At 39.3% G+C, this 26,139-nt stretch overlaps 2 protein-coding genes across 12 annotated transcripts in view, besides 5 other annotated features; one reads left to right on the forward strand and one right to left on the reverse strand.

Annotated features, from left to right (window-relative positions):
- PPAT (phosphoribosyl pyrophosphate amidotransferase) overlaps positions 1–13,081 on the reverse strand; it is a 42,254-nt gene extending 29,173 nt beyond the window's left edge. For both annotated transcript variants that reach the window (NR_156493.2, NM_002703.5), the window contains exon 1: positions 12,816–13,081. Coding sequence is in view for 1 of the 2 variants with exons in the window: in NM_002703.5 (NP_002694.3) it covers positions 12,816–12,943 (128 nt within the window). In the remaining variant the exon portion in view is untranslated. The remainder of the gene's footprint in view (positions 1–12,815) is intronic.
- The window catches only part of PAICS (phosphoribosylaminoimidazole carboxylase and phosphoribosylaminoimidazolesuccinocarboxamide synthase), a 54,072-nt gene that overhangs the window by 12,028 nt on the left and 15,905 nt on the right, over positions 1–26,139 (forward strand). For 2 of the 10 annotated variants that reach the window (NM_006452.4, XM_047449530.1), the window contains exons 1-5: positions 13,218–13,394; positions 13,728–13,794; positions 19,129–19,326; positions 24,161–24,339; positions 25,884–26,063. In NM_006452.4, the coding sequence (NP_006443.1) occupies positions 13,779–13,794; positions 19,129–19,326; positions 24,161–24,339; positions 25,884–26,063 (573 nt within the window). In that variant the 5' untranslated portion in view covers positions 13,218–13,394; positions 13,728–13,778. Of the gene's footprint in view, positions 1–2,838; positions 2,923–6,405; positions 6,472–8,886; positions 9,015–11,181; positions 12,411–13,217; positions 13,395–13,423; positions 13,442–13,725; positions 13,795–19,128; positions 19,327–23,822; positions 23,844–24,160; positions 24,340–25,883; positions 26,064–26,139 lie in introns of those variants that run through there. The other 8 variants (NM_001392010.1, XM_047449527.1, NM_001392011.1 and 5 more) reach the window with 8 other exon arrangements.
- Positions 2,869–3,554: an enhancer, noted in NCBI's record as "OCT4-NANOG-H3K27ac-H3K4me1 hESC enhancer chr4:57291569-57292254 (GRCh37/hg19 assembly coordinates)". NCBI's record gives its function as "activates a minimal SCP1, AML or CMV promoter by ChIP-STARR-seq in naive H9 embryonic stem cells {active_cell/tissue: H9 hESC(naive)}" and the evidence as "EXISTENCE:reporter gene assay evidence [ECO:0000049][PMID:30033119]".
- Positions 12,786–12,965: an enhancer, noted in NCBI's record as "active region_21579". NCBI's record gives its function as "activates an Ori minimal core promoter by ATAC-STARR-seq in GM12878 lymphoblastoid cells {active_cell/tissue: GM12878}" and the evidence as "EXISTENCE:reporter gene assay evidence [ECO:0000049][PMID:35858748]".
- Positions 13,056–13,255: a silencer, noted in NCBI's record as "silent region_15449". NCBI's record gives its function as "represses an Ori minimal core promoter by ATAC-STARR-seq in GM12878 lymphoblastoid cells {active_cell/tissue: GM12878}" and the evidence as "EXISTENCE:reporter gene assay evidence [ECO:0000049][PMID:35858748]".
- Positions 13,396–13,685: a silencer, noted in NCBI's record as "silent region_15450". NCBI's record gives its function as "represses an Ori minimal core promoter by ATAC-STARR-seq in GM12878 lymphoblastoid cells {active_cell/tissue: GM12878}" and the evidence as "EXISTENCE:reporter gene assay evidence [ECO:0000049][PMID:35858748]".
- Positions 13,813–14,696: an enhancer, noted in NCBI's record as "H3K27ac hESC enhancer chr4:57302513-57303396 (GRCh37/hg19 assembly coordinates)". NCBI's record gives its function as "activates a minimal SCP1, AML or CMV promoter by ChIP-STARR-seq in naive H9 embryonic stem cells {active_cell/tissue: H9 hESC(naive)}" and the evidence as "EXISTENCE:reporter gene assay evidence [ECO:0000049][PMID:30033119]".

Here is a 26,139-nt window from a genome sequence, read left to right on the forward strand (position 1 = left end):
AATGCTATTATAAGACACTGCTATGGCCTGAACTGTGTTCCTCCCACCAATATTCATATATTGAAGCCTTAACCCCCAATGTGATGTATTTGGAGACAGGGCCTTTGAATGATAACTAGCTTTAGATGAGGTCATGAGAGTGGTGCCCTCATAATGGGTTTTAGATTTTATATCTATATATTAATAGACGCTACCATACCTAAGAAATTATGTTATAACATTATATGAAGTACTGTTGGATCATAACTCAAAACACATAAATGAAAGGTGGAAATAATTAATGGAAGCAATGTTCCCCATCGCTGTTTTTCTCCAAGTGTAGCAGCATCAGCATTAACTGAGAACTTACTCAAAATGCAAATTCTTGGGCCCCATCCAGAATCAGAAACTCTGGTGTTGGGGCCTAGCAATCTGTTTTAACAAGTCTTCCAGGTTATAATGATGCAAGCAAGTTTGAGAATCATTACCCTCTGGTATAGGGCACTAAGGGTTTGGAGGTGAGATTTTGTGCTTGCTACCTGATAGTTTGCCTCTTCTACACAAACCAAAACTGGGGAGGAGGAGATCACCAAGCCCCCAAGCTGAAGTATATCTGTTAAAAAGACCTTGTACCTAGTCTGTCAGTCCAAAGCTTCATATAACTTCACAAAGTGTAAAGCTCAATGTTAATTTAACAAACTAGTTAATCAAATTTCCTATACTCCTGGCAAACTTATTTCTCTGGTTTATCAGACAGGACAGATTCTTAGGTTTCCATAGGCATCACAGCTATGGCCTTTGTCATTAAGAGTTAAAAATCAAATTATGCCAGGTGCAGTTGGCACATGCCTATAATCCCAGCTTCTTGGGATGCTAAGATTGAAGCATGACTTAAGCCCAGGAGTTTGAATCCAGCCTGGGCAACACAGCAAGAACCCATCTCTAAAAATAAAAAATAAAATTTTAAAAAATAAGAAAATCAGATTACTGCATTGTTTAATAAGGAAAAAAGATTTCCATCTAAAAAGTTAAGAGCTTTAGTATTCAGAAGATTTTAGCTTGTTAGTCCTCTGGAAAACTTACTTAAGTACAACCTCAAGATAATTTTTTACATGTAGAAGAAAAAGATTAAGTCAAAAGTACAAGTTTTTTTTTTTGTTTGGCATGTTTGCATGCCAAATATGAAATATTTGGAATATATTTAGAAAATGTGAAACAGGACAAATGCATAGTCATCCTAGAGATTATATTATTTTAAACTGTCACATGAAAATTCAAAGCAAAGATATAAACCCACAAGGATCTCAGCAGCTAAATACGTAAGAAAAAAACTTAAACAGGCAAGGATTTTAGGTACACCTGCAATATATACCTACTGATTCACAAATTGCCACTCCGCTCTTAGGAAGAATGTAATAGAACGTAGTATTGAGGTATAAAAATATGAATTATTTATCTTCAGGGAAAAAAATTCACATGAAATAGTCTTTCTTTAAAACAACAACAAAGTGATGGGTATTTACATGTAAAAACAGAGGTCACTTCATTTTTATTTTTTGTATTTCACTGATGAATTTTTGAAATTGGAGTTGCTATTATTAATAATAGCTCCATATTGTTAACTTTGATATCTGGCCAAAAAACCAGTCCCCCAAAAGTATTCTCTTTCCTATCTTAAATGTATGCTATAAGCCATAAGCTTTTCTTTACTTCAAATGAAAATCCAGCTACAGCTGTAGACCCCTTGGATTCTGAGTATCTAGAGTGGTTCCCAATTTGGAACTTCTGAAGGTTTTGATCTAGCAGGTTGGAGTCAGTTCAGGCACCCGTATTTTTAGACGGTTCTCAAGCATAGCCAGCACTGGAAACCGTAGCTAGGTTATCATGCTCAGACCAGCAGAGGACTGATTCACACAGAAGTTTCAATTTGATTCCATTCAGGGAAGAAAAATTTGCTAATGCCGATAGATTATCACTTAAAAATTAATGACTAATGGAATATGAAGGAAATCAATCACGGAGAAGAATCATAGACTGCTCAGGCTATTCCTATTATGTTAAGTAAAAAGAAGTGGCCCATGAAAATTGAATAAACTAGATCTTTGGATCTAAAACATATTTTATTTTTCTCCCTGGTCTGAAGCATAAGCGAGAGAGGATAAAAGGAATCAAGAAGTTATCAAAGGAGAAAGGACTCTGCCAAAAGAGAAAATTTGTGTTTGACAATCTTATCACCTACCTGTCTCTTCTGAGTAGGAGAAACAAAATTGACTTAATTCCGCTCCAATATCAGCTGCCATTTATATGAGCTGGTATGCCTTATTATCTATGTATTCCCGCAAGCCACTGCTTTCTGGTATAGGACAGTCACAGTTAAACCTATTTTAGGTCAGAGGGGTGGAGTCAAGCATACTTAAATAAGCATAGAAGTTTCATGGTAGTAAAATATATCCTATTAGAGGAGGTCACGCTGATCTTCAGCCTAAAAATCACAAGTGAAATACCTCAATGTTCATCTAAGAATAACCCTAGAAATGCCCATTTTTCTTTTGGTTGTAGCAAAACATATTTCCAAAATTCAAAAAGTTCACAATGAGATGGCCAGCAGGGGGCATTAAGGAATCTACTGTTACCATCTCAAAGGGTACGCTAAGAATTATGTTTTCTTCTAATTCATTTATCTCTTCCAAAAGAAAGAAATTGGAAGTAATTTTCCTTAAACCTGGAATATTTAAACACTTTTGTATATTTTACATGCATTATAATTTGTATAATCTTAGCAGTAAAATTATTACATAAATTAATGCACTTTAGTCATATGAAACACAATACTGAGAACTTTTCATTTTAATCCAATAGTACATCCAGATAGAGAAGAACTTATTACTAAAACTTCAGAAAACCGAAGACTTACAAATGTGAAAAAAGAAAGCTCAGACATAGGTATGCTGCTAATCTTAAATACAGGCAACTTGTTTATTATGAAGTCATGATTTTTCTAATTTGTACTGTTGGTAATATTTTAATAAACTTTTAAGAAGCTGTGGCATAATAAAGAATATATCTAGTTTTGGTCTCCTGTTCCTGGCACAAAGCATCAACAACCTTTGGAACTTCCAGAGACAGAGGCATCTTTGTTGTGTTAATGAGGCTACTCTAGGTGGGTTCCCAGATAGCTTCAGGATAGGGGGTAGTCACCGAAAAAGACCGACCATGTGATGAGGGTTGGAGCTTTGTGCCAGTGTGACCTCCATGAAGGAGAGTGGGGCTGGAGGTTGAGTTCCATCTTGCAGCCAATGACTTAATCAATCACATCATAAAAACTCTGGCTTAGAGGAAGATTTGGAAGCTCCGTACAATGCAGTTCATGTTTCCTTAGTTCCTTTATAACTTCCCACAGACATCACTGCATTAACCTCTACACTTGACTTGTCTTTACTTTTCTATTCTCAAACCTCAGCAACTTTTCTGAGATGTGATTTACATACAATCAAATTCACCCAACTAAAGCGTATAACTGTGGTTTTTAGTATATCCACAGTTATACAATAATCACCAGTATCCCATTTTAGAACATTTTGATCACCCCACAAAGAAATCCCGTATCTGCCAGGCACGGTGGCTAACGCCTGTAATCCCAACACTGTGGGAGGCCAAGGCAGGCAGAACACGAGGTCAAGAGATCAAGACCATCCTGGCCAACATGGTGAAACCCCATCTCTACTAAAAATACAAAAATTAGCTGGGCGTGGTGGCCGCGCACCTGTGGTCTCAGCTACTCGGGAGGCTGAGGCAGGAGAATCACTTGAACCCAGGAGGCGGAGGTTGCAGTGAGCCGTGGTCACACCACTGCACTCCAGCCTGGGCGACTGAGCAAGACTCTGTCTCAAAAAAAAAAAAGAAAGAAACCCCATATCCATCAGTAGTTTAACTGCTTGACCACACCTCTGTAACCCCTGACAACCACTAACCAACTTTCTGTTTCTAAGAATTTGCCTATTCTGGACATGAGTGGTACCCTCCAATATACATTTTTGTGTCTGGCTTCTTTTGTTTCACGGTTCATCCACGTTGTAGCATATATCAGTATTTCATTCCTTTTTATGGCTGAATAATATTCCAATTTACAGATATACCATATTTTGTTTTCCCACTTATCAACTGACAGACATTTGGGTCACTGCCATTTTCTGGCTCCTATGAATACTGTTGCTATGAACATTCTGGTACAATTTTTTTCCCATTTTGGTAAAATATACATAAAATATTTACCATTATACCCATAAGTACGTTCACGTTGTTGTGCAAACATCACCACTCTCCATCTCCAGAGCTTTTTCATCATTCCAAACTGAAACTTCTGTAGCCATTAAACAATAACTCCTCCATCCCAACTCTCCTTAGCCTGTGGTGACCACTATTCTCCTTTCCATCTTTGTGAATTTGACTATTCTAGGTACCTCATATAAGTGGAATCATACAATATTCGTCCATTTGTGCCTGGCTTATTTCACTTATAATATCTTTAGGGCTCCTCCATGTTGTAGCATTTATCAGAATTTCCTTCATTTTAATATTCCATTGTATGGATACACCATTTTGTTTATTCATCCATCGATGGTTATCTGGGTTGTTTCTGCCTTTCGGCTATTATCAATAACTCTGCTATGAATGTGGATGTATAAATATCTGCTTGAGTCCCTGCTTTCAATTCTTTTGGGTATATACCCAGAAGCGAAATTGTTGATCATATGGTAATTTGTGTTTAATTTTTTTAGGACCTGCAGTACTGTTTTTCCACAGCATGTATATGTTTTTATGTGAACATGTTTTCAGTTCTTCTGGGTTTATATGTAGGAGTGGAATTGCTTGGTCATATGGCATATGCTGAAAGTTTCTGAGGAACTACCTGTTTTCCACCATGACTTCACCATTTTACATTTCTATCACCATCTTTTAAAAATTATATCCAACAAGAGTGATTTAAACACATTTTCAAATTTCCATGAGGCACTAGGCATGGTGGTAGGCACCTGTAGTGCCAGCTACTTGGGAGGCTGAGGCAGGAGGATCGCTTGAGCTCAGGAGGTCCACGCCAGCCTCGGCAACATAGTGAGACCCTGTCTCTTAAAAAAAAAAAAAAAAAATTCATAAGGCTGAAAAATTATTCAGAATTAAAACCTAGGAGAATTTAAGATGAGAGGAACTCACTGTTAGAAAGCATTGTGGAGTATGCCTTCCCCCTGTCACCCCCTGCTGCACATCATCACCCCAAAATAATACTGGGTCCACTGCAGGGTCTAAATTGGTAAATTTTAAATGTCATTTTGATATATGAAGTCTAACAGAGAAGATCTCTATTGTGTATTACCTAAAATGCTTCCTTATACCTGAGTTGGTAGAGAATACAGTAGAGAAAGAAGGAAAATGTCTATGCCCACTTCTCACTAAAAGAAATTTAGTAAACACTGGGACTTTCCATATTCACAAATATCCAGTGAAGATCACCTATGATGAAAAGCAGCTAAATTTTCTCACTAATAATGAGAACAGTCTGTCTTATAATTTTTAGAATATACTGTTTGAATATGGACACAAAATTTCTTTTGACTCATATTGAAGTTATTATTGTATTCTTGGTACTTTATGCCATCACAGTTGCTTTAAGTGAATGATAATCAAATACAAGATTTATCTATGTTTGAATAATTATAAATCATGTTGATTTGTAGGTAATCCTTTAGAAGATGCTAAAAGTCATTTACAGATTATAACAGTGAGTAACACAGAGGCCGGAAAATACTGGTGTGACAGTGAGGTCAGAGCATTGATATGGTCTGATGAAAAAATTAAGCGAATGCTTGAAGGGGCCACAAGAAACAAGAAAATATTTGAGGAAATTGCCAGAAGATTAATTAATGCAGTTTGGGATAGACAGAGACCGGAAACAATGTCATACGAAATATAAAAATGTAAAATATGAATATAGCATTTTACAAAGAAAAAATGGCAACCCTCCAAGAAAAATGAGATTTTATGAAGAAGTTGACTGCATCCTAAGAAAACCAACTCTCAGAACTGCCAAATGGAGACATGGTAACTTTGGAATTGACATTAACAAAAAAAATTCTAGACATTCCTCTTTGCATTTTCATTTAGCAAGAGAAAAACTCTTTAAAAATGAAATCCTTACACTATTGTATGCTCAAATGACCCTTAAAAATCATTAAAAATAGGTACCTAATTTAAGCCAAGAGTTTCAACTTTTTTCTAAACCTTGTACCAAAATATTCCTAATTCTTAACTCATTCTTTATTTGTCCATCTGCTTAAGTTTTCTTATTTTAGTATACCTGAATGCTTGAAAACCATTAATGTGTTTCAAATGATGTCACATAATGATTCTTTTCCTGTGTTTTTATTTAAGAATTATTTGAAGGTCACAACAAAAGCCAAGGAACTTTGAGCTTCAAGAGAAAAGCACATGAAGATGGTAAGAGCCAGAGAAATAACAAGTTCTTCCACACAGTGGAAACAACTTGTTGCTTTTTCCTGATAACAGAGATATTTATTCCTGTCCTTGATAAATTAGACTAAATATATTGTTTATGAACTGTATTAGAGCAGAGAATGCTGAGAAATAATTTATTTCATAGCTCACTGAGTGAAAGTTCCTGCAGGAGCTAGAGTTTATATTTTAAAAGAAGAAGAAAGAAAAAAGAGTGAGAGTAACACTGAAAGTAAATGAAAACTTGCCCGGAGTTAGGTAACTGTTTGGTTATCATGGTCCTTTAAATTGTACTTTACAGTGATTGTTGCAATTATTGTTATCAGATGTAAAAAGAAAAAAATCCACAGTTCTTCAAAGGTAGTCAATAATCAATATAACATTTTAATAAGTCTGAAAGTCAAACTCAGAAGCCAACCTAATAATGGGAGCTGTAATTCCAAAATGACCCATCACAGACATCAGAAAAGATAATATAATGCAATATAGCATGTAGAAGAAAGAAAATGCACATAAGACTAATAAGAAAACCTGAGCTCCAGTCTCTCTTTGACCCTAATTCCTAAACACAGAGCAAATCACTGCATCTCTCTGGATCTCTAAAATAATCCAGCTTTAATGCCTTATAGATTTATAATTTATGAGATTGTTTTTTAGTTAACACAAAAAATTGAAGAGTAAAACAAAATTTTACAAAGTAGACACACCAAATCCACCATTCAGGACATAAAACTTACTAGCACCCTAAAAGCCTCCCAGTCATTAATCATCCTTCCGCCCCCATAAACATTATCACTATTCTCACTTCTATCACCATAGATTAGTTTGGGATTCATACTATATGTACTTTTCTTTCATTCAACATTGTTTATGAGATTCACCCATGACTTTACTCACAACAGTAGTCTGTTATTTTTTATTACTGTAGAATAGTCCATTGTAAAAATATACATCCCAGCCAGGTGCAGTGGCTCAGGTCTATAATTCCAGCACTGCCTTGGAGGCCAAGGCAGGAGGATCACTTGAACTCAGGAGTTCAAGACCAGTCTGGGCAACATAGTGAAACCCCCCATCTCAATATTTACTTAATAAATAAACGTATATCCCATTACTTTTTAAAATCTATTTCACTGTTGGACATTTCAGCTGTTTCCAGATTGGGGCTTTTTTGAAAAATTGCATGTCTCTCAATGGACATATGTATGCATTTCTGTTGAATACATACCCAGAAGTGGAAGGCAGGGTCATAGGGCATGCATATATCCAAGCACTGTTCTAAGCACTTTACATATATTAACATATTTAGTCCCAATCACAATCCTATAAGGTAGGTGCTATTATTATACCCAATGTACAGATGAGGAAACTGAGGCATAGAGAAGTCTACGCTCCTGAACCAATAAGGTCTCTGCGAGGGCAGGGACCACATCTGCCCTGTATGGTAAAGTATTCCCAGTGTCTACCACAGTGCCTTAGTAATATACTTAGATGTACATTATTCCTATTTGTTGAGCTTCTGCTCAACAAATACATTTTGAATAAAGTATTAGCAAATAGCAAGAATTCCTTTTCCCCTTATAACCTTTTATCTCAAGTGAACTGAAAAGTGTATTTTTCTATGTCTGGATATAAATGCAAGTCAGATAAAACTCTTGTGCGGTTAACCCTTAGCAGTTTCTCCTTTCAGGTTAAACTGCTAAGGGTTAACCGCACAAGAGTATCATTCTGAACCCACTGAATTTGAACATTAGACCTTACAATATATAAGTCTAGGCCAACAGATGAGGAAACAGACTCAGAAGTTAGAAGACTTGCCCAAGATTAAACTGATGTTACTGGAAAACCTGGGGCTAGATTTCAGTTTGTATGTTAAGGAGCTCTTCCCAATATTGACCAGAATGACCAAGCAGTGGTACTTGGAGACTTTTGGGGGCAGGTAAATTCTGCTTCAGACTAATGCAAAAAGCTAAGTTCTAAAAAAAAAAGTTATAAATGGAAGGATTGAAAACACTTATTTTAAAGCAAGAATCACTGAATTATAAAATAACTAAAATCAAAGACTGGAACAATTTGCAAGGACACTTAAAATAAGTCACTCCCTCAAACCAAAATTTACTTGACTCAGATAAAGGTTATAGATTATGGGAGTATAAAAGTTAAACACTATAGGAATGTTACATATTTGATCATTTTCAGTCAAATATGAAAATCAAAATTAAGTAAGATATTCCCTGCCTTAATTTGGCAGCCCAAAGTAAGTTCTCTGACAATCAAATCCTGTGTTCTCCACAAAACTAAATGAAGATTAACTGGGAACTAGATCCATATAAGTCTGACTGAGTGCATCTCTCATTCTCACAAGTGCCTTTCCAGTGGTAATGTTCTGTACTCTGTTTGCAGAACCAGTGTCTAAATCTCTTAAGAAAAGTGCTCCTGAGATCATTACAAATCAGTTTCCTCAAAGCGTAATAACAGAACCAAAAGATTCTACAGAATGTTTCTGCAGACAGAAAACCCAACTTCATCAGGTAAATCTTATAAATTTTTAGAAGTATGAAAATGTTTGTCATTGTAAGGTTCAATTCCTAACCAGGAGAAGTGATAATTCATTGAATGGAAGGGCATGGTTATCTCCTAATCAAGGAAAGGCTAATTAGCTGATTCATGGCATAAATCTACAGACATTTACTAATTCCTTTTATGGAATCTTCAAATATGTCCAGGCCATTCTAGTCTCCATAAAATGTGACTGTGTTTTAAAGATGAAAATGTTTATTCTAAGAAGGGGTGTCTGGTTTGTTCAGAACTCCGCAAACTACTGAAATGATGTTTTCAGGACCAAAACAGCATTTGGTGATTATATAAATCAGGCATGAACATACCCACACACATGCATGCACAGTTTACAGCTAAGAGGACATGTGAAAATTCCCCTACAGAAAGCAGAGCTACGGAATAAATCTGAAGACAGCCAGAACTACTAAAAACGGGGAGTACATCTGGATGAACCCATCTGGGTTAAATATCCAGTGCATGACTGGCTTAACTAATTGATACTCTATTTATTTTTATATGAAATGGCTAATATACCTTCCAGGTATTCTGTTAACCCCAGGACTAAATGTTTCAGATTAGATTATACCCAAGACAAAAAACTGGACCAAATACAAAACAAAAGTGATAGAAATCTCACCTTCTAGATTCCATCTTCTTAAAGATAAGGTTGGCCAGGCATGGTGGCTCACGCCTGTAATCTCAGCACTTTGGGAGACCGAAGAGGGTGGATCACTTGAGGCCAGGAGTTCAAGACCAGCCTGGTCAACATGGTGAAACCCCGTCTCTGCTAAAAATACAAAAATTACCTGAGTGTGGTGGCGGGCGCCTGTAATCCCAGCTACTCGGGAGACAGGTACGAGAATCACTTGAACTTGGGAAACGGAGGTTGCAATGAGCCCAGATCATACCACTCCACTCCAGCCTAGGTGACAGAGTGAGACCCTGTCTCAAAAAAAAAAAAAAAAAAGGGAGGCCAAGGCGGGCAGATCACGAGGTCAGGAGATCGAGACCATCCTGGCTAACACAGTGAAACCCCGTTTCTACTAAAAATACAAAAAATTAGCCGGGCGTGGTGGGGGGCGCCTGTAGTCCCAGCTACTCGGGAGGCTGAGGCAGGAGAATGGCGTGAACCCGGGAGGCGGAGCTTGCAGTGAGGGGAGACTGCGCCACTGAACTCCACCCCAGCCTGGGAGACAGCGAGACTCTGTCTCAAAAAAAAAAAAAAAATCAAGAAGATAATATATAAGAAATAAATTCCTTCATCAAAAAGGAAAAAAACACAATCAAACCTTTTTGCAGTTGTTTTAAAACTAACCAGTGAGTGAATGAGGGTGAGAAAGTGAAAACAGAGCTTTCTGCAACAGACCACCACTTCTCAGAGTACGATATATATATACATATATACATACACACACGTATTTTATATATATATATATAAAACTAAACTAAAAGAAAAAGTTCTTAGTTTTATTCTGGCCCTTATCTATCAGTTTCGAGCAGCAGATAATTGTATTTCCAAGACATAAGGGAGTGTCATTGTTCTTCCAAGCAGAATCAGTCCTCCCAAAGGATGAGCACTTTAGCTCATGTAAAATTTTGAATTGATTATGGGTGAGAACCAGCCCTCTTTGTGCACCTTAATGATTCTATGCCTACACAAGAGAAATGTTAAATTGTTTTTCAGTAATACATTTGTTCCTCAAAACCACATAATCACATCATTATTGCCCTTATCTGGTATTATTTAATCTTACAATTCTTTCACAGAAAAGCAACTATAGAAAACAGATATATGTAACCAGGAATCAAATGGTATTCATTAAAAAAAAAAAAAAAGAAAAAAAAAACCTATAACCATGAATACCAAGTATTTTCCTAAACTGGGTACTAAAACTCCAACCAGTGCTAACATGTAAGTTAAAAAAAAAAAAAAGCCTCTTTTTCTTCAGGCACACATTTAAAGGGAAGGAGAAAGGGGGATGAAAATTTCTTGAATAACTTTGGCAAAAAAAGTAAATATAGTGAAGTACAGTTCATACATATTTTCTACAGACCACCAGGCAACCCTAAAGACCTCTAGATTCTCCCTCACCCCCATGACAGAGTATCCAAAATAACAACTGTTTTTTTTTTTTTGAGACGGAGTCTCGCTCTGTCGCCCAGGCTGGAGTGCAGTGGCGTGATCTCTGCTCTCTGGAACCTAAGCCTCCCGGGTTCAAGCGATTCTCCTGCCTCAGCCTCCGGAGTAGCTAGGACTACAGGAGCGCATCACCACACCCAGCTAATTGTATTTTTAGCAGAGATGGGGTTTCACCATGTTGGCCAGGATGGTCTCGATCTCTTAACCTCGTGATCCGCCCGCCTCGGCCTCCCAAAGTGCTGGGATTACAGGCGTGAGCCACCGCGCCTGGCCATAGTTTCTAAGAATGTTACAAACTAATGTTGCTCACAACTACCACATAATCAAGAGTTTACTTTCTCCTTGGATTACGTAACTAATTTTCTCAATAAACTTTTTTTAAAAAAAACAAGAAATCTATTATGGTCAACCCACAATTATCCAAGATTGGAGCTACGCAAGTTAAAAATATTCTTTTTGATGCTTCCCACATTCTCAGCTCTTTAGTAAACAAGGAACACACAAAATGTGAAACTGAAATTGAAGTACCTGGGACAATGAAAACAGCAAAAAATACTTCTAATTTAAGTTTGGTGGAGGAAAAGCTAATCTTTTGGAATGCGTTTATACGTGTTGCACCCATTTTGCTGTTACGTGTTATTGCCAAGTTCCTTAACTGTAGTGTAAGTTGTTACCACTGTATTGCCTTATGGAAACTGTAATACTTTCAGTAAGAATATCAAACCCAGGTTTGTTTTTCTTATCCTAGTGTAATAATTTATATCAACTTCCAGTTAAGTCAGGTAGTAAGAAAAGGAAAGATCACCGAAGCAAAGTAATTTTTTTTAACTCGAAAGGATCTCCCAATTTTTCAAAATCAAGTGTATGGATCTTGGCATAGAGACACTACTCCCCTGTCCCCCTTTTGAAGAAGGGAGTTAATTTTTGTCATGTTATTACCAACGTTTTCATTCATTAGGCAAGACGTCTACCAATGAATCTTTTCCAGATGCACTGTTCCCTATGGTTGGCTTATTTCCATTTAATTTATGTGAGATCTACTACCAGTAGTCATTCTCAACATCAACTAGTCATCTTTCCCTGGGTCTGAAGTCTAGCATCCTCAAGTTCCCATAGCGATAACTACTTTCAAACCCATAATCTGCTCAATAGCTCTGCCCTTGCAAACAAAAGCTTGTGGTGGTTGGAGGCCCCGCGCGAAAACCTTTAGGTGTTGAAGGACCTGGACTGGCCGCCACGCCACACTAGCCTATTACAGGAGCAGCCACAGGCTCCGGGAGACTAGAACCCGCCTGCAGTCGGGGAGGAGCCCTGACCCAGCTAGACCAAGCAAACCGGCGGTTTACAAGCTGGCCAGCCTCTGGATGGGTGCACACACCGGGGGGCGGGGAGGGAGAGAGCCCCTAAAAGGCATAAGTGGCTGGGAGGGTGGGCAGGACAGGCTAAAGTTCATGGAAGCGAGGTGCCCCTCGTGCACGCCTAGGCAACCCGGTCGACGCCACAGGCAGGTACTGGCTTAGGTCGGAGAGGTCGGTCCTCCCGGGCCCTCGGGCGCTCATGAGAACGCCGACTGCGGGAAGCGGCTCCGAGAGATGGAGACGCACGCCCCCGCCACCCCCACCCTGTTGCTCACCGGTGCTGCAGCCCCACGAGTCCCAGAGTGATCACATGCGGTACATCCAGCTGCGTGGGCCACTCTCCTGAGGCGATGCACCCGAACACGCCACATTCCTCTCGGATCCCCAACTCCTCCAGCTCCATGTCGCCGCCGAAAGCACGTGGAAGGACCTGCCGCTGCGGCCAAGGTGTAAGCACCAACCAGCTGCCAGCTCGGCCCGTCGAGCTCAGAAGCTCGCGCTCGCGACAGGCTCTTCCTTCCCGAGGGTGGCCCCAGCTACTGCGGCGGCGCGCGCTGTCCCTAGGTGGCGTGGCCAGCTCAGCCCTGCTCCTCCCCCTCCGAGTCCACCAACGAGCGAGGGCGGAGGGGCGGTCCCGCGGCTGAGGGGCGGGGTCACGGATGCTGTAGGGTGGAGCTAGCCTTCCCCTAAGAGCTGCCTGGAAAGCTGTATTTGCTGCACGTGGAAATCTCCGTTATTTTCCAGCACCCAACAGTAGCGTAATGGGAGTAACGGACTTAACCTCATTTCTCTTTCAGAGCATTTAGCCTTCATATGCCCTTCCCTGCATGCTTCCCCCAGGCCGTCAAGACTTGGTACGCTCCAACTTCTGAGTCGCTCCCGCAGCCGAGAAGGGGCCGGGGTATGCGAGCTTCCGCAGAGTGGGGAGGGGCCGCCAGTGCGCGCCACTTTTCGCCTGTCCGGGCACTGCGCCAGCGCGGGGCGGCCCGGAGGCGGGGTCGCGTCTCTGCGCCTGCGCGGCGGGAAGCCAGTGGGGCGTTGTTTCGTCCGATATCCGCGTTTCAGTCTCCGCCCATACCCCTCCGGGTTAGGCGGCTGTAGCGGAGCTCGAAAAGAGTGGCGCAGGGTCGCGCGGCCCCGCCTCCTTCCCCGCCCAGCGAAGCTCTCTGACCACCCCTCTTTTCTAGAGTTCTGCCTCGCTTCCCGGCGCGGTCGCAGCCCTCAGCCCACTTAGGATAATGGCGACAGCTGAGGGTGAGTAACAGGGATCCGGGCCCTTCACGGTCTCCCTGACCCCCAGGCCGTGAGCTCGCGGCCACGTGCGAGCCGCGAAACTCTGTCCCGCCTCCCTGCAGCAGCGCCTCTAGGCAGCCGCGCGGGCGCACACGTGGCCCAGGCGCTCCCGGGCCTCCCCGAACTTTACTGCCTCGGGGATGGGGAGAAGGAGCAAAGTAGAGGAGAACGAGAAATGGCCAAGGGGTGGAAAGGTGCCTGGAAGTATTATTTATAATCAATAGCTATTGCAAAATACAAGCAAATCAGTCTTGATTCGTCAAAACCTGAGTCTTGCTTTGCCCGTTAGGTTAATGACCTTTCTAAGAAGGTTAATAATTGAAACTTTTGAAAGACCTGTCTAGAGGCCGGGCCTGGTGGCTCACGCCTGTAATCCCAGCACTTTGGGAGGCCAAGGCGGGCGGATCACCTGAGGTCAGTAGTACGAGACCAGCCTGGCCAACATGGCGAAACCCCGTCTCTTACTAAAAATACAAAAAATTAGCTGGACGTGGTGGCGCGCGCCTGTAATCCCCAGCTACTCAGGAGGCTGAGGTAGGAGAATCGCTTGAACCCGGAGGCGGAGGTTGCAGTGAGCCGAGATCGCGCCATTGCACTCCAGCCTGGGCGACAAAGCGAGACTCCGTCTCAAAAAAGAAAAAGAAAAACCTGTCTAGGGGGCGTGTGTGTAAGTAGTCTTTGATGCCATGGTGTGTGTGTGTGTGTGCACGCGCGCGTGAAGTAGTCTTTGATGCCACGATAGCTTGGGGTGTGTGTACGTGCGTGTGCGTGTTTAAGTAGTCTTTGATGTCATGGGTGTGTATGTGTGTGCGCGCGCGTGTTGAAGTAGTCTGATTCCATGATGGCTGGGGAGGGGGGCTGTTTTTAGGTAGTCTTTGATGCCATGATGGTGTGTGTGTGTGTGTGTGTGTGTGTGTGTGTGTGTGTGTGTTCGTTCCAGTAGTCTTTGATGCCACGATGGCTTTGAAGAACTCCAAAACCTTTAGGCAAAAAAGTTGCACTATCAGGAAAGATTGTTCTTGCTATTTATGCTGGAAAAAAACAAATGCTGGTTTTTTCCACACACCCAGTTGCTATATGTATAGTGAGGCAAATTGCTTTTGTGGCTGCTGGGTACATTCTTTTCCACATAGAAAGTAACTGAATTCAGATTTTAAAAAGCTGTAGACTCAGGCCGGGCGCTGTGGCTCACGCCTGTAATCCCCAGCACTTTGGGAGTCCCAGGCGGGCGGATCACGAGGTCAGGAGATCGAGATCATCCTGACCAACATGGTGAAACCCCGGCTCTACTAAAAATGCAAAAATTTGCTGGACGTGGTGGCGTATGCCTGTAATCCTAGCTACTCGGGAACCTGAGGCAGGAGAATCACTTGAACCGGGGAGTCAGAGGCTGCAGTGAGCCGGGATCGCGCCACTGCACTCCAGCCTGGCGACAGAGAGAGACTCTGTCTCAAAAAAAAAAAAAAAAAAAAAAAAAAGCTGTAGACTCAGCAAAAAAGATTCAGATGATATTGAGTATCAACTCCCTAGAATCAAGGCAAGGACCAGAATTTTTCTTGCAATCATGGTACCTGTACCTCTAAAATGGCAAATCTCTAAAATCTTTGCTCTTCCACTTCTTTCCATTTGTGTACCGTTGGCAGGTTGATTTTTCTTAAATGTCACTTTTATGGTCTCTAAAAGGCAAAAGTGGCAACAAAGGCAAAAATGGCATCTCTAGAGATGTTAAATCCAGTCTGTCCAGTCTGAAATCCCTTTTCATTCAAATCCTGAATACTGCTATCCCTTCTACCTCTTCAGCCCTAACTTTGATTTTTCTCTCCTGTGAATCCTTAGCTATGTTCCAGTCAGGTTAATTCACCAAAGTTTGTTTTTCATTATATACATTTTATTTATATTATTTTTCCCAGAACATTGCTGGCTAATGGAAATATAATGTAAATTTGTCTTCTATAAGCCACATTTTAAAAAGTAAAATAATAAAAAAAACTGGTGCAATGTGTTTATATATATATATATATATATATATATATATAAAAGGTTTTTTTTGTTGTTGTTTTTTGTTTGTTTTGCTTTGTTTTTGAAATGGAGTCTCGCTCTGTGTGGCCCAGGCTGGAGTGCAGTGGCAAGATCTCAGCTCACTGCACCCTCCACTTTCCAGGTTCAAGTGATTCTCCTGCCTCAGCCCCCCAAGTAGCTGGGATTACAGGCACACTCCACCACACCCGGCTAATTTTTTTTTGTATTTTTTAGTAGAGTCAGGGTTTTGCCATGTTGGCCAAGCTGGTCTCAAACTCCTGACCTCAAGTGATCTGCCTGTCTCAGCCTCCCAAAGTGCTGGGATTACAGGCGTGAGCCCATTTTAATATATTTTATTTAACCCTATATACACAAAATACATTTCAACATGGAGTCAAGATGAAAAATTCTTTAGATATTTTACAATTTTTTATATCGAATGCAGTATATATTTTAACAAATGACATTTCAACTTGTAATAGCCACATTTCTAGTGGCTGCCTTATTGGACAGCAGAGTCCTAGAATTTTCTTATCCTTTGTGTAAATTCTGTGCTTTCCCAGACTCTTAAATTTCAATTCCATGAATCATTTTCAGTCCTCATCAATCTTTCCAGAATTCATCTACAAATTTGTAGCAACCATTTTGGTACTTGCAGGGTATGTCACGTATGGTTGTTTCTTATGTTGTTTCTACCCATTAATTCAAATTCCTTCCCTCTTTAATGACTAAGTAATACAGATTCAACTAAATTAAGGGGAGGGGCATTAGATACAAACTTTGCCCGGGCTTACTGCATATTAATATATATAAATGTTAATTTCTTTATCTGATCTGGGCACTGTTTTTTTTGTTTTTGTTTTTTCTTGAGACGGAGTCTCCCTCTCTTGCCCAGGCTGGAGTGCAGTGGCGCCATCTCAGCTCACTGCAACCTCCGCCTTTCAGGTTCAAGCGATTTTCCTGCCTCAGCCTCCCAAGTAGCAAGGATTACAGGCGTGCACCAACACATCCGGCTAATTTTTGTAATTTTAGTAGAGACAGGATTTTACCATGTTGGTCAGCCTGGTCTTGAACTCCTAACCTCAAGTGATCCGCCCGCCTCGGCCTCCCAAAGTGCTGGGATTACAGGCATGAGCCACTGTTCCCGGCCCACTGTTCTTTACCCTTCCCTCTCTTTTATCCTCCATGATGAATTCTCAAAGCTACTATCTTAAATATCTTGCATCTTTGCCCACTACTCTTTCCTTAGACCAAGACATTTCTTTTTCTTTTCCTTTTTTTTTATTGAGACAGGGTCTCACTCTATCACCCAGGCTTGAGTGAAATAGTGCAAATCTTGGCCCACTGCGGCCTCGACCTCCCCAAGTAGCTGAGACTACAGGCATGCACCACCATGCTGGGCTAATTTTTGTTTTTTTGGTAGAGATGGGATTTTGCCCTGTTGCCCAGGCTGGTCTTGAACTCCTGAGCTAAAGCAATCTGCCCTCCTTGTCTTCCTAAAGTGCTGAGATTACAGATGTGAGCCACTGCACCTGGCCAGACGTTTCTTGTTCAAGTTACTGCAACAGCATCCTAACTGGTCTTCCAAGCTCTAGTTTTTGTTCACTCACCCCTTCCTCCCTTCATTGTCCATACAGAAGCCGTAATGATCTTTCCAAATAGCGTTTTGCTTTAGCACTTAAAAGCCTTATAGCTCTTCTTGGGTTAAAGTCTAAACTCAATCAGCATGGCTTGTGAAACAAGAAGGATGTGTAGCAAAATGGAAGGGAAGTTTTCCAGGCCTAGGAAAGAAGAGATTGTCAGAAGCTAGGGGAAGATTGTATAAGAATTAAAGATGTTGGAGTTCTAGATAGGAAATAGACAAATAAGAGTTTGGAGCAGTAAGCCAGGGCTGTATCTTAAAGGGACTTTTAAACCATGTTAATGAGTCTAGACATTACATTAGGGAGGGTAGAGATTCATCCTCTAAATTAGGTGCCCTACAGTGGCAACTGTTAACTAAATTACAACTACTTTGTTTAATGGTTACCTCCACTAGCTGGTGATGTGGCCCCTGTCCAACTCTTAAGTCTTGTCTCCTGCCATTCTTTAGCTGCAGCCCCCACCCCTTCCCCTGCCCAACAGCAATGTACATATACCCAGAGCTCCAGCTCCAACCAGACTGAAGTTCTGCAATCCACTTTGACCACCTTGTATTTATTCATCAACACTACCTACCCCTTTCTCTCCTTTGGCTAAATTTCGATGATTCTTCAGATTTCAACCTGTCACTTTCTTGTAGACTTCTTTTTCTAATGTCTAGACTAGTCCCATAGTCTGTATTTATTGCATTCTATTATTATGATGTCTTATTTAATATCAGCTCCCCTCAGACTCAGGTCTCTTGAGAGCAGGAATTATTATTTACTGGTACATCCCTTGGCACATGGATACACCGGGAAAATGTTGATACTGAGAGTGTTGTGGAAGTATGAGGGTTGATTTCTCTCTTTCGAAATTTTAAGTTCCTAAACATCTGTTATCTTTACTCTTTCTCTAAATCATCCTTTTGTGTACTTCTTAGGTTTTGTGACCAGCATCAAAATTGGATTCCTTTGTGCTCACTTCCTCACAATTTCTTACAACTGTTAGTGAAGAGAAAGGATTAATGGGGGCAGGGACAGGATTAAGAAATAGAGAGGGATGCTTCCAAATGTGCTAACTTCAATGGGATGGCATGCCTCCTCTTGAATATTAACTTGAAATCAAGAAACTCATCTGGCTGAATGTTCCCATTTTGCCTACAAAAAAGCAAATATCAGCAAAAATCGCATATTTTTTCCTGCAAGATAGTTTAGATACTATACTGTGAGTGTGTCTGTGAAAATACTAGTATAGTTACATTACTTTAAGTGGGTCTTAATTAATTTTAATTCTAGTTCAGTTCTGCTATGAGAGGCAGGTTAATAGTGGAAAGAGCACAGGATTTGATGTCAGAGGAGTTAGGATTTTATCTACCTCTTATATTTCCTAACTGCATGACCCTCAACCCTTTTGATTTCTGCTTTACTAATTTCTACAATTATTTATGTAATTAAAATTCTTCACAAGATCATGTGAATCAAATGTGATGGTATGAGAAATACATTGTAGAGTATATGGTTTTATACAGATGATTTAATTTTTATTAATATTACTTAATCACTGTATATTTACAGATTAATTGTTCTAGGTGATTTAGTCTTCAGCATTCAGGAAGTTTCTGAATTTTGGTCTATTTCCATTTTATTTCCACAGTACTGAACATTGGTAAAAAATTATATGAGGGTAAAACAAAAGAAGTCTACGAATTGTTAGACAGTCCAGGAAAAGTCCTCCTGCAGTCCAAGGACCAGATTACAGCAGGAAATGCAGCTAGAAAAAACCACCTGGAAGGAAAAGCTGCAATCTCAAATAAAATCACCAGTTGTATTTTTCAGTTATTACAGGAAGCAGGTAAGCAGCTCCCTCAAAGTCTCTTCTCTCACCTTCTCTGGTAAGCATGTCGATGTCTTTCATGTGAAGTTGGCATTAATATGAACAACTTGTTTGCAGATGTCTCAAAAGCTAAGTGAATTTAAATCAAACCAAGAACCCTTAAACTTCACTATAACACCTTATTTGGTTTGGGATTATTAGTATCATTGAATTAAAAGGAATCTTAACAAGTTTGCTGTAATCTTTATCTGGCACATGCACTCTCTGTGCAGCTTACCTCTCCAAGGCCATCTTCACTTTAAGGAATTTAACTATGAAGGAAACCCATTTTAATGTTAAGCAGTTCTAACATGAAGAACTGAAATTTACTCCCTGTAATTCTATACAAATGGTCTTTGTTCTGCCTCTGGGAGATAATACAGAATTTCAAATTCCTCTTCCACTTGAAAGCCCTGAAAAGTAGTTGAAGACAGCAACCAAACCTTCTCCTCCTGCCATTCCCCAAGTGAGATATTTGAACTAAAACCCCAGAGCGCCCTCCTGTTCAAAAACTGAATGAAGGCTCTATTTTCAATAGAGAAATAGATTCAAAAGACCAAATGAAGATCAGAACATTGTGTGGTGGGTATTTGAAGCAAAGGGAAGGAAATTAGGATAAAGGGGTTTTCTGCAGGGATTCAGTCAGTTGCTGGTTGGTCTGTAGTATATGAAATTTCAGCTAGGAAAAGATTTGAACTCTTGCCACACAGTGTAAATAGCCTCATTGCTTTGGATCATTCAACCTACGAAACCTTACCTATGAAATAAAAGCTTTTTCTTTATCATTCTTGCCAATTCTAATTTTATAATTTAATAACTTTCCTTACTTTTAATTCCAATATTCCCAGTTGCCCTTTCATTTCTTAGAGTTTCTGGTAGCACTAATCTTTCTTAAATTCAACAGGGGATTTAATGCTTTTGTTTTCAGTTAAGTTAGATGTACGTGCCTTCCACAAAATAACAAGGTAATGTAATTTAAATACATTGTCAGTGCATTCTTGGCGTAGTTTTGTCTCTTCCAAAGTATCCTATTTCACAATTTTGATTAATGTGAAAAAGATTTAATTGCAAACCTGGATTGTCATCTACATCATAAATTCCTCTATGCTGTGAAAGTGAGTGTATTGCTGTAAATTTAAAGGATCTTCCAGAGTTCCTAAGTCACAGAATCTAAGATTTTTATTTCAAGGTTTCTTGATTGGTAGCTTCCCAATGACTGAGGTAATTTCTAAAGAGAGCATCAAATTAATTTTGGGTTCCTTTTGCAATACCGATAAGTGTTCCATCTATTTATTTATTTTATTTTTTTATTTATTTTAAGTCAGAATCTTGCTTTGTTGCCCAGGCTGGAGTGCAGTGGCACAATCTCGGATTACTGCAACCTCCATCTCCTGGGTTCAAGCGATTCTCATGCCTCAGCCTCCCCAGTAGCTGGGATTACAGTTATAGGTGCACGCCACCATACCCGGCTAATTTTTGTATTTTTAGTAGAGACGAGGTTTTGCCATATTGGCCAGGCTGGTTTCGAACTGCTGGCCTTAAGTGATCCACCCGCATTGGCCTCCCAAAGTGCTGGGATTACAGGCGTAAGCCACCACACCCGGCCTGTTCCATCGATTTTTTTTTTTCTTCCCAAGTTTTAACTCTCCCCATTCACTTAAACATTTTTTAAAGTGCTTAACTCTTTAAAATGTTAGCAGTCAGAAGATTACTTTCTGTGTACCCTTGGTAGTTTCACATAGCTACAGGATTATATTAAGTAATGGAAGATAAAGCCTGACTTTTTATTTGCTTATTTAGTGTATTTTCTGAGTGTATTTACACTCATCCCATTATCCATTTCCAGAACTTTATAACAAGTAAATTAGAGTGACTCAGTTGTGTTATGTTTGTCCAGGACTTTCTGCTTTAATTCTGAAGAGTCCTGTGATCAGGGGAACAGGGAAGGATGGTTACCTAAATGAAATACTCCAATAATTATCTTTAAACTACTTTATTTGGCACTTAACATAGCTAAAACTTAACTGGTTCACAGGAAATGTTGAAAGATATTTTCCAGATTTTATGTCTAGTACTATGAAACTAAGTAAACCTGAATTTTTTAAAATTTCTAAACAGACTAGTTTTAGGGTACATATTAGGAATTCCATTAAACCTTATGTAATTTTTACTTGCTTAGTCAAATAAATGCCTTATCTAGTTGGCCATCAGTGGTCTATTTAAAACTGTTTTCTTTACAACCTGGGTTGTGTTCCAAATTAAGGTAGAAAGTAGAGAGGAAAGAGCATTGGAATGAGAATCAGAAAATCAGGATTCTACTTTTCTCATTGTCACTCAGGAACAAACTGTAAAGGACTATATAAATAAGAAGTAATCTTTTTCCGTGGAAATAGTATAACTGTGTTATAACTGTGTTATACAATTTGTGGATTTGGTTTTATTACTTAAAAATTAAAATCTGGCCTTCTTAGTGATGATGAAATCCCAATTTCCTCACAGAAACTCACTATAATTACATTAAGTGTAATACTAGTATATGAAGAACGGTACTACAGTTGCTAAACCACAGATGGGCATCTGGACCAATCTAAAAGAGGGATGGCCACGGGGACATATGTATTAGCTAGAATTACTATTCTAGCTAATATATGTTCATTGTAATCCAGAGTGTGTCAGTGACATAAACATTTTTTAGTAACCTGAATGAGAGTTTTGAGCTTTGTAGACAACTAAGATAAACAATGGGAATTTTTTTCTCACCATGCACAGTCATGGAATTTGCTTTCATATTTAGCAGTATTAGAAGCCATCATTATGTCATCTAAACTGAGTCTGTTTTAGAAACTTTTAGGGATTTTTTGTGCAGAGATGATTACTGTAGCTTCATTATGTGCTTTTGGTTCTCCTTGGGATTGGCGGGGGGATCTCTCTAAGACGAAGTTATCTTTATATTAAAAACAATAAAATTGGATACTACTGTGTCCAGCTTGGTAGACAAATGAGCAAATATGTGACTAATGATTAACAGATCTAAGAGAGAAGAGCTCTTGAAACCAAGGATGTAGTTACCACCCCAAGTTGAGAATTGATTGAAGTCACCTGTCTATCCATGAGCCTGATCATTCATTAAAAGTTAAACAACAGATTGCATCTAATTTTTTTTTAAAGGTTAAAATGACAGTTTTACTTCCCCTCTTTTCATTTTTTCCTTAGGGTTTCTGTTCATGCAACATACCACAATTCTTTCTTTTTTTCATTTGAGTCTTACGAGTCAGATTCAAAGAGAGGGCAGAGGAAATAGTGTAGGGTTTGGACAGTGCGTTTCAAGTCCAGGCTCCATTACCAAATGGCTACATGACCTAGTGTGTGAAATTACTTCTTTGAGCCTCTGTTTTTTTCACTGTAAAATGTATAAATAATAATACCTACTTCAAGGCCAGGCGCGGTGGCTCACACCTGTAATCCCAGCACCTTGGGAGACTAAGGTGGGCAGATCACGAGATCAGGAGTTCCTGACCAACATGATGAAACCCTGTCTCTACTAAAAATACAAAAATTAGCCAGGCGTGGTGGTGCACACCTGTAATCCCAGCTACTCAGGAGGCTGAGGCAGGAGAATCTCTTGAACCCAGGCGGCGGAGGTTGCAGTGAGCCAAGATCACGCCACTGCACTCCAGCCTGTGTGACACTTTGTCTCAAAAAAAAACCAAAAAAACAAAAAAACCTACCTCAAAATTTTATGCACAGTTAAATGAGACAACATATATAAGACACTTAGCACAGTGGAGGATTTCCATAAATAGAAGCTCCCTTCATGTACAGATACACATATAACAGCAAAGATCCCCAATTCTTTCCTGATAATAAAAGTTAGACTAGAGGATTAGGTTGGGATTGGAAATAGTAATGCAGGCTGAAAATAAGCATTATCTCAAACCCATGTAGGTTTCCAGGAGATATTTTAAATCATGTTAATGCTGTAGCATTACTTTGTACTGTGATGTAATAACACTTCCAGGAGAGGCAATACAGCAAAGTGGTTAAGTGGGCGGCTCCTAGAGACAGGGTAGGTTGGAAATCCTGCTATACCTAATACTAGCTGACATTACTACTGTGTCTTAGTGTCCTTACCTGTTTTGTTGATCTTAATAGTATCTTATCAAATGTTATGAGGATTAAACAAAAAAGATGTATTTAAAATGGTTGGAACAATATCTGCCATAAAATAGGCTCCTGATATTTTTTAAAAGAAAATTGTGATAAATACATAAAATTTACCAGTTTGACCATTTTTAAGTGTCCAATTCAGTGGCATTATGTGCATTCACAATGTTGTACATTCATCCCATTATCCATTTCCAGAACTTTTTCATCATCCCAAACAAACTGTGTAGCATTAAACAATAACTATTCCTCCCACTCCTCAGCCCTTGGTAACTTCCATTCTCTTTTCTGTCTGAATTTGCCTATTCTAGTTACCTCATATAAGTCAAATCGTAAGTATTTGTTCTTTTGCATTTTGTGTTTTTCATTTAGCCTAGTGTTTTTAAGCTTCATCCATATTATATAGCATGGATGTATCAGGAATTTCGTTCCTTTTTATGGCTGAACAATACATTGTATGTATAGTCATGTGCTGCTTACTGTTTGAGTCAACAACTGACCGCATCTACATTAAATAAAGAGAAAAATTACACTTATTTTTGATAGAGGTTCTTTGTTGCTTGTAAAGGGTAGAGTTTTATTGTGCCTCAGATCTACCTTTTTACATATCATTTCAATACCTTTTTTAACTTTGGTTATCAATATGTAGGTATTAAAACTGCCTTCACCAGAAAATGTGGGGAGACAGCTTTCATTGCACCGCAGTGTGAAATGATTCCAATTGAATGGGTTTGCAGAAGAATAGCAACTGGTTCTTTTCTCAAAAGAAATCCTGGTGTCAAGGAAGGATATAAGTTTTACCCACCTAAAGTGGAGTTGTTTTTCAAGGTAATTATCTTATGCCTCTGTTTTATGTCTTACTGTAACACGGCAATAAATTTATAATTAGAAACTCTAAAGGTTTAAATATTCAAGCAAAGTTTTTGATATTTTGATATTGCAAATGTCATTCCAAAATTTGTCTTATCTAGTTGCCAATGTCAATAATGTACACTTCCATTAACAATGATAAATCAAATTTTAAAAAGAAAGCATCTGAAAATCTTACCTTTGAACCAAGATGACTAACAGGAAGAAGAGAAAAGTAACATTTAGTTAATTTTTTTAAAATTTAGTTGAAATCTTTTTATATTCTAATACAGGAAAACTATACTAACAATGTCTCTTGTAAGTGAAAATATATAAATAAAGGTTGTAAGAATCAGTGGTTATGAATTTTGTAGGCTTTACTGCTTTTAACCATCTTGATTTATGCTGTTAAGCATAGATCTGCTTGGGAAGCAATATCAGTCTTGCTTTTTAATCAATGAGTTATGTAACTTGTGTGTATTATGATTATATAGATCAAGAATTTATAAAGATATTGTCATGTAAAGTTGGGACACTGCTGAGAATAAAATGAAATTATTTCATTTTTTTCACTTACCTCTTTGTCTGAGGTCTCTTGAATTATCAAATAATGTCCCTAAAAAATTATAGTGCTGTATAAATTCTAATAAAAAGTGAGGTTGGGAGGTTATGAGAACGGTGGTTTTGGAAAGATTTGATTGATTAAAATGTGCTTTGGCCTTCCTGTCATGTCTGATGACTGTTATTAAGGAAAAACAAAAATCACAAACTTAAATTCTGTTTAAATTGGTTTATAGAGGTTAAATTCTTTGAAATACTTTGTGACCTAGAATAAGTTACTCACCTAAATACTTTGAATTTTAAAGTGCTATTGAGAGTAAACAAATTAAGAGTAATAGTTTTTTCTGCTTGCAGGAGCTAACTAGGAAAAAAAAGAGGAGTAATAATTGCTTTGAATTAAGGAGTATCGTAAACAAAAAATTTCTTTAGATGTCTCATTTTGTTGCCCAGGCTGCTCTTGAACTCCTAGGCTCAAGCGATCCTCCTGCTTCAGCCTCCTAAATTACTGGGACTACAGTGTGAGCCACTGCACCTGGATCAAAATTTCTTTTCTTTTTTTTTTTTTTTTTTGAGATGGAGTCTCCCTCTGTTGCTTAGGCTAGAGTGCAGTGGCGCTCTCTCAGCTCACTGCAACCTCCACCTCCCGGGTTTAAATGATTCTCCTGCCTCAGCCTCCCAAGTAGCTGGGATTACAGGTGCACACCACCACACCCAGCTAATTTTTTGTAATTTTAGTAGACAGGGTTTCACTGTGTTGGCCAGGCTGGTCTCGAACTCCTGATCTTGTGATCCGCCCACCTCAGCCCCCTAAAGTGCTGGGATTACAGGCATGAGCCACCATGCCCGGCTGTGGCTAAAAATTTCTAAGGAGTTCATGCTCAAGGTGAAAAGGATGTTGGTTTTTCTGAAAAGTTTAAAAATTTTAGATTGAAGTTAATTGTACTACTATACTTTATTCACAGGATGATGCCAATAATGACCCACAGTGGTCTGAGGAACAGCTGATTGCTGCAAAATTTTGCTTTGCTGGACTTCTTATAGGCCAGACTGAAGTGGATATCATGAGTCATGCTACACAGGCTATATTTGAAATACTGGAGAAATCCTGGTTGCCCCAGAATTGTACACTGGTTGATATGAAGGTACAGATAAAACAAGTACAGATAAAACAACAGGATTTGAAAGTAAAGGTTATAGTTGAGAGATGCTTTCATAAAA

The sequence above is a fragment of the Homo sapiens genome, chromosome 4 (assembly GCF_000001405.40).
Source record: "Homo sapiens chromosome 4, GRCh38.p14 Primary Assembly".
Lineage (NCBI taxonomy): Eukaryota > Metazoa > Chordata > Mammalia > Primates > Hominidae > Homo > Homo sapiens.